The sequence below is a fragment of the Homo sapiens genome, chromosome 9 (genome assembly GCF_000001405.40).
Source record: "Homo sapiens chromosome 9, GRCh38.p14 Primary Assembly".
NCBI lineage: Eukaryota > Metazoa > Chordata > Mammalia > Primates > Hominidae > Homo > Homo sapiens.
This window is the reverse complement of record NC_000009.12, coordinates 16,549,896-16,564,481: the sequence shown is the minus strand read 5'-3', so window position 1 is coordinate 16,564,481 and position 14,586 is coordinate 16,549,896. Positions and strand designations below refer to the sequence as shown.

General features: G+C 40.6%; 1 protein-coding gene across 40 annotated transcripts in view; it reads left to right on the top strand.

Moving 5' to 3' along the window:
* Positions 1-14,586, top strand: part of BNC2 (basonuclin zinc finger protein 2) — a 461,168-nt gene that overhangs the window by 306,189 nt on the left and 140,393 nt on the right. For all 40 annotated transcript variants that reach the window (XM_047423506.1, XM_047423501.1, XM_047423494.1 and 37 more), the window contains one exon: positions 11,717-11,952. In XM_047423506.1, coding sequence (XP_047279462.1) covers positions 11,717-11,952 — 236 coding nt within the window. The remainder of the gene's footprint in view (positions 1-11,716; positions 11,953-14,586) is intronic.

Sequence of the window (14,586 nt, the reverse complement as noted above, 5' to 3'; positions counted from 1 at the left end):
TTTCCTCTGAATCTCGTTGATTTTGCCTCCAGATCTTCCAAACTGGAAAATCCCAATCATTTTGTAGCTGTGCCTCATCTTTACTACAAGCATCTGTTTTTCCTCCTACTTCTTAGCTTGGTCTTGATTTTATGCTTTCTTCTCCTTTCTCCTTACATTAAGATTGTAGTCTTCAGGTCACTGGCTTGCTTATACTTAAAATAATTTTGAAAACTAAGGACTACCCTAACATTCTCATATGCTGAGTTACTTACGAATATCTTACAGCAAGTAAGTGGCAGAGCTGGGATTAGACTCTGGCCCTAGAGACTCTGTCTTTAATCTGGAAGACAACGAGCATCTTTTAAAAACACTGGAAACATGAAATTGTTGCTTTCTGTCATTATTTTTTAACCTTAACTGTTGTTTCCACTCCTTTTCCCCCAAATAACATTACCATAAATGTTCACTGGAAAGTCTTTTATCACTCAACATGCATGCCTACAATGAAAATTAATAAAATATTTAGAAATAGAAATTTTATTTTAAAAACTGTCATCACAGTGATAAAATCCAAGCGATATAAATATTACTAATTTTAACAATTTGTTAAACATAAAGTGGGTTTTTGTTAGAAATGTATCTGTCAGTGAAGTATCTGCCGGTGAAATAGTTGGGACTATAAATTTTTTTCTTCTCAGATTAGTTCATGTATCCATGGATGAATAGTACTTATTACAAAAAAGAGAAAAGGTACACTATCAGTTCTAGTCCCAATTTTCATTTCTACAGCTGTAACTGCTGAGACATCTGTTCACATGAATACATGGGACTAGGAGGTTTGTTACCACATTGTCATTCATTTCTTAGAAGTCATTTCAAGTTATATGCCAAAAATTACACAGCACTTGATTGGTTTGCTAAAAGCTAAGAAATTGAAACCATCCTACGTATTACTCAGATATTGTTATAGTCATTTCTTTTTCAATTTATGGAAAAGGGCTTTAAGAAATTATATCAAATAATGATTTATAATTTTTTTTTTTGGTAGATACAGGGTTTCGCTCTGTTGGCCAGGCTGGTCTCGAACTCTTGGCCTCAAGTGATCTGTCCTCCTAGGCCTCCCAAAGTGCTAGGATTATAGGCATGAGCGACCAAGTCCTGCCCTATAAATTTAATCGTTAGTCTTCAGTTTAGAGGCATGTTGTTTATCCCTGTATACCCAGAAAAGATTGAGAAAATAAAAATACTGTATTAGTTTTTAATTCAAATAACTTCTGCAATTTTTTTTTAACAAAATGCTTTTATCTTACTGTTGCAGACTTAGCTATCTTAATTGATGAAAATTTCCACCAGGTAGCCTAATTTGCAAATCCAATGATATGGTCAAATGATCATATTTGATCAGTGGGACTGACAAATTTGACTTAATTTTTATTAGAAAAAGCTGAGTTCACATTTCACTTCAAATAAATGCACTTTGTGAAAACTTATAAAAACATATCAATAAGTTATGGAATGCATCTTTTATGATACATTACTAAAACAGTCCAGAATAAAATGTGGTGCTAGTAAAATTTATTTATTCAGCTTATAATACACATGCTATTTCTCTTTACTTAATTAGTAATTATGTACTATAATATATAACTTATTTATGAAATGAGAAGTATGTTAGAAGTCATGATATCACTTTGATAAATACGGTTCCATGTGTATCACACAATTTAGTGTTGGACTTTAGGAAAAAATTAGGTAAGAGTAATATATAAAAATATTTATCAATTTTGCTAGGTATCATGACCAAACTGTTTTTATATGCTTAATGAAAGAGGAACTTACATACTTGCTAAAAATTAAGTGCTTTGACATTTGGATTATAATTTATTCTGTTAATTTTATTAGCAGTATGTAGAAGGTATTCAAAATCTTTTAAGATGAAAATGATGATTAATGGTAAATATTTTGCTATTATTTGATTATGTAGGCTGTAACTACCTTACTAAATGATAAACATAGTTTCTGAAAGAAATTAGGTAACATTTCTATCCACACCTTTTATTCAGTGTGTTCTACAAATTTTGTAGGGACAGGAAAATATTCAAACTAAAATTAAAAGAGTGGGCATCACTTACATTTGCTTAGGGGCTTTTCTTCCCAGGTGAAGACGCCTCCTAGGGATGAATGAGTGTTGAGGATAGTTGAAAAGAATATCTTAGCTTTGAATATGTGGGGTTCGAGGAGGGAGACCATTTTCATTATTGGACACTCATGCTTTGCTCCCATAGGATGCTTTCTAAAGAGCAATACATTACTAAAATAGATAAGAATGTAAGAGGAGAGTTCATTATCATTGCCCATTTTACATGATGTCTGAATTCTGAACATTCCAGCATAGTCCTAAATCCTGTATGAGATCTAGCTACACTTTACTCATCTGTGTATAGTCAGGGAAATATGAGCCTTTATTAATTGTTTTTTTTGTTTGTTTATTTTTTGAGACAGGGTCTCACTCTGTTGCTCAGGCTGGAGTGTAGTGGCTCAGTCACGGCTCACTGCAGCTTCGACCTCCGTGGGCTCAAGTGATCCTCCCACCTCAGCCTCCCGAGTAGCTGGGACTACAGGCACGTGCCACCATGCTCAGCTAATTTTTGTATTTTTTGTAGAGATGGGGTTTCACCACGTTGCCCAGGCTGGTGTCGAACTCCTAGGCTCAAACAATCCACCTGGCTCAGCTTCTCAAAAGTGCTGGATTTACAGGTGTGAGCCACCACAGCTGGCCTATTAATTCTTTTAATAATCAAATTGTGAATTATTTTAGCACTCAGAAGAGTTTTACACCCTGGGCTAGTGTACCATATAGAATATAAGCCAAGTATCTACCTTTATTTTGTAAAGAAGGAAGGGTACAATTTTCAGAAGAGAAACAAGAATGAATTCATGTACTTGGAGGCCCATTCTCAAGTGGATCAGTTTTAGAGTAAATATGGAACTGCAAGATCTGGAAATTGGGTCCTTGTGTTTGCATACCTCATGGAAGGCCTTTTTATACCCTGAGCTTAGGCATACTCTACTGAGAAGTCCACTGAATTAAGTCATGTCCCAGTGGAGTAATGCAAAAATGCCCTGCTCTCTTCACTTGGCTCTAAGCCATCCCTCCCCGTTTCTATCTCCAATTTTCAGTGTGGTATGTGAGTGGGGGCATATGTGTCATGATCATCTGGGGCAATTTTCAAAGGCTGTGGGTTTTGTTTTTTTTTTTTTGAGGCGGAGTTTCACTCTTGTTGCCCAGGCGGAGTGCAATAGGGCAGTCTTGGCTCACTGCCACCTCTGCCTCCCGGGTTCAAGAGATTCTCCTATCTCAGCCTCCTGAGTAGCTGGGATTACAGGTGCCCACCACCATGCCTGGCTAATTTTTGTAGTTTTAATAGAGATGTGGTTTCACTATATTCGCCAGGCTGGTCACAAACTCCTGACCTCTGGTGATCCCAAAGTGCTGGGCCTCCCAAAGTGCTGGGATTACAGGCATGAGCCACCATGCCTGGCCACAATTTTCAAAGTTAAAACAACCCTCTTACTTCTGAACTTTCCTGCGTTGGTTGGTTCTGGCTCTGTGGCCAAGGTTCATCCAGTACCTTCACCAGCTTTTGTTCCTGCTGGATAGGTGTCATGTCTCCCATGTGACAACTATTGCTTTAATTAAATTTCTGCACTCTTATCAGAATTTTACATCTAAAACTAAAAATCATTTTTATCTTTTAATCTTTTGCTGTTTAGAGATGCGGTCTCATTCTGTCATCCACGCTGGAGTATAGTGCAGGATCATAGCTCACTGCAGCCTGGAACTCCTGGGCTCAAGTGATCCTCCTGTCTCTGTTGCTTCAAGTAACTGGGACTATAGGCTTGCTCTACCACACTTGTCCTTGCCTGGCTCGTTAATTTTTTATTTTTTTTTTGTGGACATGGTTTCACTGTGTTGTCCAGGCAGATCTCCAATTCCTATCTTCAAGTGATCCTCCCATCTTAGCCTCCCAAAGCATTGAGATTTCAGGCATGTACCACCACACCTACCCATTTTCCTCTTATAAAATGTTTAATACTTTCCTAATCCTATTAACAAGAAATAAAATTATAAGCTTTCCACAGGTCTTTGCCTTTATAAATACAGCTCCTTACTTACAGTCTGCTAATCTGATCTTTTTGGACTAATTTCCAACTATTTTGCTGCAAGTGTTACATTCTTTAGATGGTTCCCTAACACATACCCATTAATTCAGTGATTCTCAGAGTATGGTCCTGGCCAGTAGCATCAGCATCTTCTGGAGACTTGTTAGAAATGCAGATTCTTGATGCCCAGACCCAGTGAATCAGAAACTCTGGGGGAGGTGGCCCAGCAGTCTGTTTCAACAGGTCCTCCACTTGATTCTGATGCACACAATGAGTGAGAATCACTGCCTTAGTTCCGTCTACCTACAGTAGTCTCCTCCTCCTTTCTTGCCTGCTGACTTCCGAGTTAGGAGACTGCATTCCCGGCAGCATTGCCCTCTCTTCTGTGTCCCACAGTACTTTGTCAAATCTTTTTTATGGCATTTATATTGCCTACATCTGTCTGCTTTTGAAGGTGGAGGCCACAACATAAATTACTTTTGCATCTGCATACAGCACGTACCTCAGAGATAAGTTAATAGGTGCTGGTGGATAAATGAATGTATGCATGAATGAAGGAGGAGAGCATTTTAGGAGGAGTGGTGATCAATAAGGTCAGCTGCTATGGAGAGACTGTGGAGAATAATGAAGGAAAAAAGCTATTGGATTTCACAGAAAGGCAGGTGTTGGTGACCTTTGAAATGCTTGCTTCAGCAGAGTGATGGGCAAGTAGCCCAGATTGCTGGCAGTTAGGGACTTCCGACATGATGAGGACTTGCAGGTTTCATATTGACTATTTATTCGAACATGTGGTGAAAACAGAATTTTCTTGAATGAAGTTGCTAAGTGACCTTAGGCCAGTTACCTAACCTGATTGAGCCTATAATCTCAGAATAAGCAATAATAATAATACTGTGTTTGTATGCTTTTTAATTGAAGGATTAAATGAGCTAATAGCCCCTAGAACAGGGATGTCCAATCTTTTGGCTTCCCTGGGCCACAATGGAAGAAGAATTGGCTTGGGCCACACATAAAATACACTAACACACTAACGATAGCTGATAAACTAAAAATAAATGGCAAAAAAAAATCTCATTTAAGAAAGTTTATGAATTTGTATTGGGCCGCATTCAAAGCCATCCTGGGCCATGGTTTGGACAAATTTGCTCTAGAATGATGCCTGATATATAGTTGATACTTAAAGGGTTATTTTCTTTATACTCTTCCTCACCATTATTTTTCCTTATTAATGCTGTTGAAGGCATTCGTCCCTCTTTGTAAATCCGTATAAGATGTGAAATTGTTTAGAATACTCTTCATTCCATTCATTGCAGAAATTGTGAATTGCATTCAGCCTGGAACTAACATACTTTTAGTTGAACACCGACCACTACTTTGAAATTACTTTTTTTTTTTTTTTTTTGAGACGGAGTCTTGCTCTGTCACCCAGGCTGGAGTGCAGTGGCACAATCTCAGCTCACTGCAACCTCTGCTTCCCGGGTTCAAGTGATTCTCCTGCTTCAGCCTCCTGAGTAGAGTAGCTGGGACTACAGGTGCGCGCCACCGTGCCTGGACAATTTTTGTATTTTTAGTAGAGACGTGGTTTCACCATGTTGGCCAGGTTGGTCTCGAACTCCTAACCTCATGATCCGCCCGCCTCAACCTCCCAAAGTGCTGGGATGACAGGCATGAGCCACCGCACCTGACGTTGAAATTACTTTTTAATCAGCTAGAAAAGTACCTCAAAGGGTAGTTGTAATAGAACTCTTTTAGTTCCAACTTACAGAATGTGACTTCAAGTAGACAGTGAGAAAATGGCAGAGGGGACAGGGAGAGGTAGTGGAGGGACAAGGAAATACAGATTTTGTTGGCTCATGTAACAGAAGATTCCAGGGATAGTACCAGCCTCAAAGCACTGCCAAATCTTCTCAATCAAACAATATTATCAGTACTAGATATTTGTCAGATTGTCTTGCAGCCTAGATCTTCTTCATATGATTTGCATTCTCAAGCATATTCATTAGGTACAAATTTAGAGGAAAGAGAAGAAATTCCCAGTAGTTCTAAGTAAGTTCCTGGATTCAATTGCACTGTCCAGACTTAGGTCACTTGCCTATTCTTGAACCAGTTGTTATGCTCAGGGTGCTGGGAGCAGACTGGTTTTCTAGGCCTGGCTAAGGAGTATTCAGTTCTATGAAATACTGGTATTGTCTGAGTATGGTGGCTCATGCCTGTAATCCCAACACTTTGGGAGGCCGAGGCAGGTGGATCACTTGAGCCCAGAAGTTCGAGACCAGGCTGAACAACATGGGGAAACCCCATCTCTACAAAAAAAATACAGAAAAATTAGCTGGGTATGGTGGCATGCACCTCTAGTCCTAGCTGCTTGGGAGACTGAGTCCCAGGAGATGGAGGCTGTGGGGAGCCGCGATCCTGCCACTGCACTCCAACGTGGGTCATAGAGTTAGAACCTGTCTCAAAAAAAAACAAACAAACAACAACAAAAAAAAAACAGAAAAGAAAGAAATACTGGTGTTGAGTGTAAGGGACAAGTTCCCAAAAGGAAATGTAGCTTCTATTACCAGAGTGAAGGGGAGTGGACACAAGTCAGGCAAAAAATTGGTATCAACTCACTATAGAGAAAAGGGCTTTTCAAACTGTACTTAAGCAAGTACAGTTCAGCCCACTGAGATACTTAAGCAAGTTGAAGAGAAAAAGGGAGTAATACCTGATTGGATGTTCTCTGACCCATGATTACTCCAGCTTCACCTAGAACAGCTTCACTTTTATATATTTTGTATATGCAACTTCTGGTTAGATTGCATTTGGAAATGAATTTTTTTTTTTTTTTAAATCCTGTGACAGAGTCTCACTCTGTCGCCCAGGCTAGAGTGCAGTGGTACGATCTCAGCTCACTGCAACCTTCGCCTCCTGGGTTCAGGTGATTCTCTTGCCTCAGCCTTCCAAGTAGCTGGGACTACAGGCGTGTGCCACCATGCCCGGCTTATTTTTGTGTTTTTAGTAAAGGTGGAGTTTCCCCATGTTGGCCAGCCTGGTCTCAAACTCCTGACCTCGGGTTATTCGCCCACTGCAACCTCCCAAAGTGCTGGGATTACAGGTGTGAGCCACGGTGCCTGGCCTGAAAATGAATCTTAACAATACCATTGGTATGGGACACATCAGCAGATGGTTAGGCCCATAATATATTAAAGTAGGTGACATCTTTTCCCACTCCATCCTGATAAATGAGTTCTTGACCTACCTTTTCCACAGCGCCATTGGCCTAACTCATATTCCTAACCCTACAAGATCCAGACCTGACTCCTCCACAGTCAGATATGTGAAGATCATGAAATTAGGCAGCAGTCTAGTTCTCAGCTTACAGATTTTATGACACTTAAAAAATCATCATGTATCATAGTTCCATGGATACTTCCCCAAAAGTTGTCACAACTTGGTGACTCGATATGATCTAGTAATTATAAAGCAGAAAATTTTGATATATTCAAGAAATTTGACAGATCATAATCTTTGATGATATGTTTATGCTGAAATTTGCAAGTTAGGCAGTTTAATTTTTTTTTTTTTTTGAGTTAGAGTCTCGCTCTGTCGCCAGGCTGGAGTGCAGTGGCATGATCTTGGCTCATTGTAACCTCCACCTCCCAGGTTCCAGCGATTCTCCTGCCTCAGCCTCCTGAGTAACTGGGACTACAGGCGCGCACCATCATGCCCAGCTAATTTTTGTATTTTTAGTAGAAACAGGGTTTCACCATATTGGCCAGAATGGTCTTGATCTCTTGACCTCATGATCCACCCGCCTCAGCCTCCCAAAGTGCTGGGATTACAGGTGTGAGCCACTGTGCCTGGCCCAGTTTAATATTTTTTAAGTCTTCATCTATGGCTCATCTCCTAGGTAACTGCTTCCTAAACCACACTCTTAGAGCTTTTTTGTGATCTACTATTGACTTCCATTAAATATCTAGTCCGCCTTTTCATCGTCCTCAGGGCCCAAACAAAGCTGGTGAGGTGTCTGTTTGTGTAAATAAAGTTTGTTTGTTTGTTTTTGGAGACAGGGTCTTACTCTTCTACCCAGGCTGAAGTGCAGTGGCACAATCATTGCTCCACTGCAGCCTTGACCCCCAGGGCCCAAGCAGTCCTCCCCCATCAGCCTCCCAAGTAGCTGGGACTACAGGTATGCCTGCCTAATATTTTATTTTTTTGTAGAGACAGGGTTTCAATGTGTTGCCTAAGCTGATCTCAAACTCTTGGGCTCAAGCAATTCTCCTGCCTTGGCCTCCCACAGCGCTGGGATTACAGGTGTGAGCCACTGCACCTGGCCTAAGTACAGTTTTATTGGAACATTGACACACCTAATAGTTTAAGTCTTATCTGTGTATGGCTGCTTTCTTGCTATAACAACAGAGGTGAATAGGTGTGAAAGAGAATGCATAACCCACAAACCTAAAATATTTAATATCTGGCCTTTATAGAATAAGTTGTTGACCTTTGCTCTATATTTATGTGGTTTATAACAGTTTTTCTACTTTTTTCTTTTTTTTTGAGACAGGGTCTCACTCTGTTGCCCAGGCTGGAGTACAGTGATACAATCATGGCTCACTGCAGCCTGGATCTCCCCTGGGCTCAGATAATCCTCCTACTCCAGCATCCCGAGTAGCTGGGACCACAGGTGGGCGCCACCATGTCCAGCTAATTTTTCCATTTTTTGTAGAGGTGGGAGTTTCACCGCATTGCCCAGGCCGGTCTTGAACTCTTGGCTTAGGCAATCTGCCGTCTCGCCTCCCAAAGTGCTGGGATTACAGGTGTGAGCCACCTTGCCCAGCTGTATTCATACTTACTAACATATGGTACACTTATGAAGAAGAATCAACTAGTGTCCTTATAATATCCTCAGTCTCAGGTGTTCTCGAAAGCATATCTAGGGAAATATTTTTGTTCTTTCTGTGCTCTTTTAATTCTCTTTTCTTCTGTACCCTTAACAGTTTAGTGCTCTTCATCTTTAAAACAACCAACCTTGGCCGGGTGTGGTGGCTCATGCCTGTAATCCCGGCACTTTGGGAGGCCGAGGCGGGTGGATCACGAGGTCAGGAGATCGAGACCATCCTGGCTAACATGGTGAAACCCCGTCTCTACCAAAAATACAAAAAAAAAAATTAGTCAGGCGTGGTGGTGGGCGCCTGAGTCCCAGCTAGTCTGGAGGCTGAGGCAGGAGAATGGCGTGAAACTGGGAGGCGGAGCTTGCAGTGAGCCGAGATCGCGCCACTGCCCTCCAGCCTGGGCGACAGAGCGAGACTCCGTCTTAAAAAATAATACAAAATAAAACAACCAACCTTTTTTAATGAGTGGGAGGGAGAGTGATTGTGGTTTTTTTCACCTACAATTTGAACGCATTTGCACACACACCTGCATGTATTTAATGCAGACATGCAAGGTGCCAAGTACACACACAAAAATCAGGATTTTGTGTCATTTTATTTCCTTTCTACTGACTCCTGTCAGTTTCATATTTGCTGTTGTCATAGAAGTCTGTTTTGTAAAGAACTATCTGAAACGGTTGAGGAGAGCTGATGAAGGGAAATGGAGGAGGAGCAGATCGCCCCCGATCTGGTCACTGGATTCTGTTAGCAGAGCAGCCACTCATCAGAAGGCTGAGTAGTTAAGCTGTACTTGAAGAAGAACAGGGATAGTAATACCCCATCCCTGCTTTTTTGCAGTCTAAATGCCCTGTGGAGTGAGAGAAAACTTCAATCCCTAGGCTTGTGAAGCCCTTATCTTTCCCAAACGTTAAATTAATTTTTAAGGCTATTTATTCAAAGTTGACTTAACCACTAGAATAGGGAAGATCAGACAAATCAGCTGCAAGAAATGAAGTATGAGAAAACCCGAACTCTTTGACAAAGTATTCCTGGGAGTAAATGTGTTGAATGAAGCCAGCGGGTAAATGATAAGGGCCTTTACACTGTGGATGTAAGAAAGCAATTTATCAAGAGTACATGAACTCTCTAGTGACCACAAGTCAGGAGGAAATGAGAGTGGAGGAGGAGCCCTGAAAAAATACATATGAAATACTAAAAAATCTGTGTGCACGCACTTTTAAATTCCTCCATGATTATGCAGTAATATTGGTGTAGTAAAATAGGAGTTGCTGAGAATGCACGTGTAGTGTAGCCCGTACCATTAGGGATAAGGTGTTAGGAAAAGCCGCTGAGAAAGGCCACACTGTAGTTTAGAATTTGCAGAAACCTTAGGTTCATAACTTAGGTGTAGTTATGACTTGAGCCTAGATGTTGGCTGATACCCATTTGCCTGACTCATGAGGTTAGATGACCATCCTTCAGGCTTATGTGTTCATCTTGTTTAATTCCTAAATGGGCATATGCATATAATTCTGACAGTTTTGAATGCCTTTTGTGTTCTCTTAAGGAGTTTAGAGTGCCTCTCACTCGTTATCTCACTAATCTTTGCAGCATCTCTTTAAGCCCTACAGATAAGACAGTGTTATTGCTTGAGAAACTGAGGCAAAATGTAATTATATTATCAGCAATAGGGTGTGCAGTAACTCAGATATGGATGGGGACTGGAATTTATGACCTTATTTTGGCCTTTAGTTCTAGAGAAGAGATGGCGTTTCTTAAATTTGAGGAGAAAAAGCACCCAATTGTTGAACTTTTCATTTTATTAAAAGTGTTTACTCTGAGAATGGTCATCCTCAGCTTTTTCTACTGAGATAATACAGTTAGCTGAAATACACCAGAAATTCTCAAATGTTGGTTTGTCATTTGTTTCCATTTTCATCTGTACCCTTAGAGCTATTAACAAAGTGACTTGTTATTTCTTTCTTTTTAAAATTATGACTTTAATTTTCTTTTTTATCCTGAATAACTTTCAGAAAACATGCCAATGAACACAAAAGCTATCTAACAGGTGACTAACGAGAGAAATTGAGAGAACTAAGTTTTTGGATAACCCCCTATAGCTAATATGACTTGACTTAAATTACTAGCCCTCCACACAGATGTCAGCTTTCCTTATTCCCTCCAAATTAGGTCTTTCACCCCTGTCGTCTAAAGAACACTCTCTTCCTCCTCTTTAACCATTCAGGTATTATAAGGGGTGAATCTTATTCAGAAAAGTGATATTCACTGAGCCTGCCCATATGGCATGAGTTAGGAATTGTTTTGTTTTGTTTTTGGTGGGGGGTAGGGGACACCATCGTCACTCGGGTTGAAACACAGTTCAGTTAACAAATCAATGAGGTTTTTAGCACCAGCCACGGTCATTTGAAAACCCCCTCAGTGACTCTTTATCTGAAAGTTGAATGTGTTTTCTATTTGTTGTTGCCTGCAATTTATAAACACATCCAATTAAAAAAATAGGAAAGAAAAGGGGTAAAACAGAAAGGAGGTGTCAGAGAACTATTTTCTTTGCAAGATCTTGCTTAAACACCTATGGCGAACATTCATGTGTAGAAATGGAGCCCTGGTAACTTCCAGCAATATTTCTAACTCCTGTTCTCTCTCTTTATCTTATTCCCAACACCCCCATCTCTGGAACTTTGGCGGGACCACCACAGCCTTGGATAAGCTCAGCACGCAGCACCTGTACCACCCCACCCAAGTGGAGATTGTGCAGTCCAACGTCGTGTTTGACATCAGCAGCCTGATGCTCTATGGGACACAAGCAGTGCCTGTGCGGCTAAAGATCCTGCTGGACCGTCTCTTCAGCGTCCTGAAGCAAGAGGAGGTACTGCACATACTGCACGGCCTTGGCTGGACTCTGCGGGACTATGTCCGAGGATACATCCTTCAGGTAGGGAGAGGACTTGAACGCCGCCCGTGTCCGGGGCCGACTGTGGGTGGGGAAGGGTGAGAGTCCTTGACAAACCTCGCAGGAAGGGCTGCACACCCTCCTCTGGTTAAAGTGGTCGTTTCAGCAGGCTTGTCAGGGAAGGGGAAAGGAGAGAGACAAAGCAGGCCACCATCGGGCCTCAGGCTGTATTAGAAGGAAAACTTGGCCTCTTGACTTGCGTTACCTTTGTTTGCACCTTTTTGAATTCAACTCTTTCTCTACATCATGGGCTTTCTGGCTTCTTCAACAAGTCTTATTATAACCCTATTAAAAAGGAGGGCTCTTTGAGGCGGGTAATGGGTGTGTGAAAATCTGAGATTACCCTTCATTTGGGTTTATTAGGGCTTTTTCTCATACTCAGTTTGCAGGTACGGTGTTTTTCTTGGTTGTCTTTGTACCTAAAGGTACACATTTTACTATTTATTGTTTTTTCAGCCAACTCAAAGGTAGAACTATAATCCATATAAACTTATATAACCAGTAAACCCTCACATGATAGCCTTCAGATTTCTACCTTCTGAAACACACAGACATGATTTTAGATTTCGTCTTTGCAGAACCTGTTCTTCCAGCCTTGAGTGTCTCCTTTGTGTCAATGGCACTTCTGACCTGGTAAGGGCTCTAAGAGTTTTCTGGGAGGCCCACAGCCTTCATGCACCCCCATCTCCCATCCCTCTCTTTCTTCATCTCATTTTTGCAATGTGTCATGTGTTATTTGCACTGTATACTTTGCCTCTGAAATGTGTTTATGGCTATCTGTCTTCCTGTAACCCTTGAGGGGTCAATGTTGAGAACAGCATTTTGGGAGATCCCAGGATCCAAAGAGGCTACACTGGATGATGAAGAAATACCCCTCTCGCCGAAGGACATCTCAATTTGAGAAGGTAGAATCTGAAGCAATTTTTCAAATTTCCCATGAGGATAATACCAGGAGACATGACCCCTTCAAAAACAATTGGTTTTGGCTGTGCCAGCCTTGTATAGTGCTAGACATATCTCCACTGTTTATTCCCTGAGCTACTGTGTGTTACATGAAGGGCATTAGCTGCCAGCTTGGCATGTGAGGAGTGGGGAGCCTCAGTCTACCTCTCGTTTTAACCTGGCATCAGAACACACAGATTCTTGTCATTTTCCTGTGTGGTACCTCCAGCTGTTAGCTGGGACAGGAGAGCAGTGGAAGGATAGAAAGTAGAAGTAGGGAAAGGGAAGGGAGTTGGAATAACCTGTCTGCTCTCAGAATAGAATGACGTCTTAATTTAGTGAGAATCTCAACTGGGAAGACACAGAAAATTTGGCCCTCAAAAGATGAGATGATGGTGATAATAGTAGCAATTATATATTACGTTTTCAGTTTATACAGAATGTTTACAAGCATTATCTCATTTGCCTCAGGATGGGGACATTTCAGTGGGTTAAAGTAGGAAGATAAGTCTTGGACGGTCAGGGGGCATGAGGGGGAACAAGATCTAGGAGGAAGGGGCCAGGAAAAATAAATCAGGAACTGGTTTCACAATCCCTGCTTATACTGGCCCCAAGATGCATACAGTGCTGCGTCTTTCTACAGTCATTTCTACAGCGTGATTATTAATGTCTGTTTTGAATGGATTTTACCCTACACAAAGAGAAAAACCTCTTACAGTTGTTTGTATGGAACTGTTAGCTTGGCTAACAGTCCTTTCTTTATTCCAAACCAACAAGTGTTTTGCCCCAATCTGGTACCATCTTTATTACCTCCACTATGCTGCTTATACTTCTGTCATTAATATTGTATTTCAGTTTCATGTGTATGTGTTGCCTAAGATACTTACACCTGTATACCTACGCAGAGACACAAGCATATACATTGTATCTTTCTGTCCAAACAAATAGGTATGTGCAGGGCTATGTTGGTTTGCCATTTTAACAAAGCTCAGGTAGCACTTTGATAGGAGTAAACATAAAGCCTGATAATGTTTCTGTGTTATGGTCCTATTGTTCTGCCTTGGCCAGTGCCTGTTTTTTATTTTACTTGAAATAATTATTTAGATGTTAGTTTTTCCCCAACTTGTGAACATATCTCTAATGCAGGTATAAAAAATGTAAATGTACTCTGTATTTCTTTGTATGGGAGGGCCCAGTATTTAGCAGGGGTGTCAAATCTTTTGGCTTCCTGGGCCACATTGGAAGAAGAATTGTTTTGGGCCACACATAAAATATACTAACACTAACAATAGCTGATGAGCTTAAAAAAAAACTCTCATAATGTTTTAAGAAAGTTTACAAATTTGTGTTGGGCCGCATTCAGAGCCTTCATGGGCCACATGCAGCCCGTGGGCTGTGGGTTGGACAAGCTTGATTTAAAGAAACAAAATTGCAAGAGAAATGAAATTTGAGAGGAAAATTCAGTAAAACCAGGAACTAAAATTTATAAATCTCTTATTTTAGGGTGAAATACTGCTTATAGAGAGCATTTTCATTTATTGTAATACTTAAATTATAATTAATTTTTATTATTTTAATATAGATTTTGACAGTCTCAAATTTAATATAATATTTCTCCATTCAGTCTAAAATTGACATTTTGAGAAAACGATAGATGATTTTTACATTAGAGGA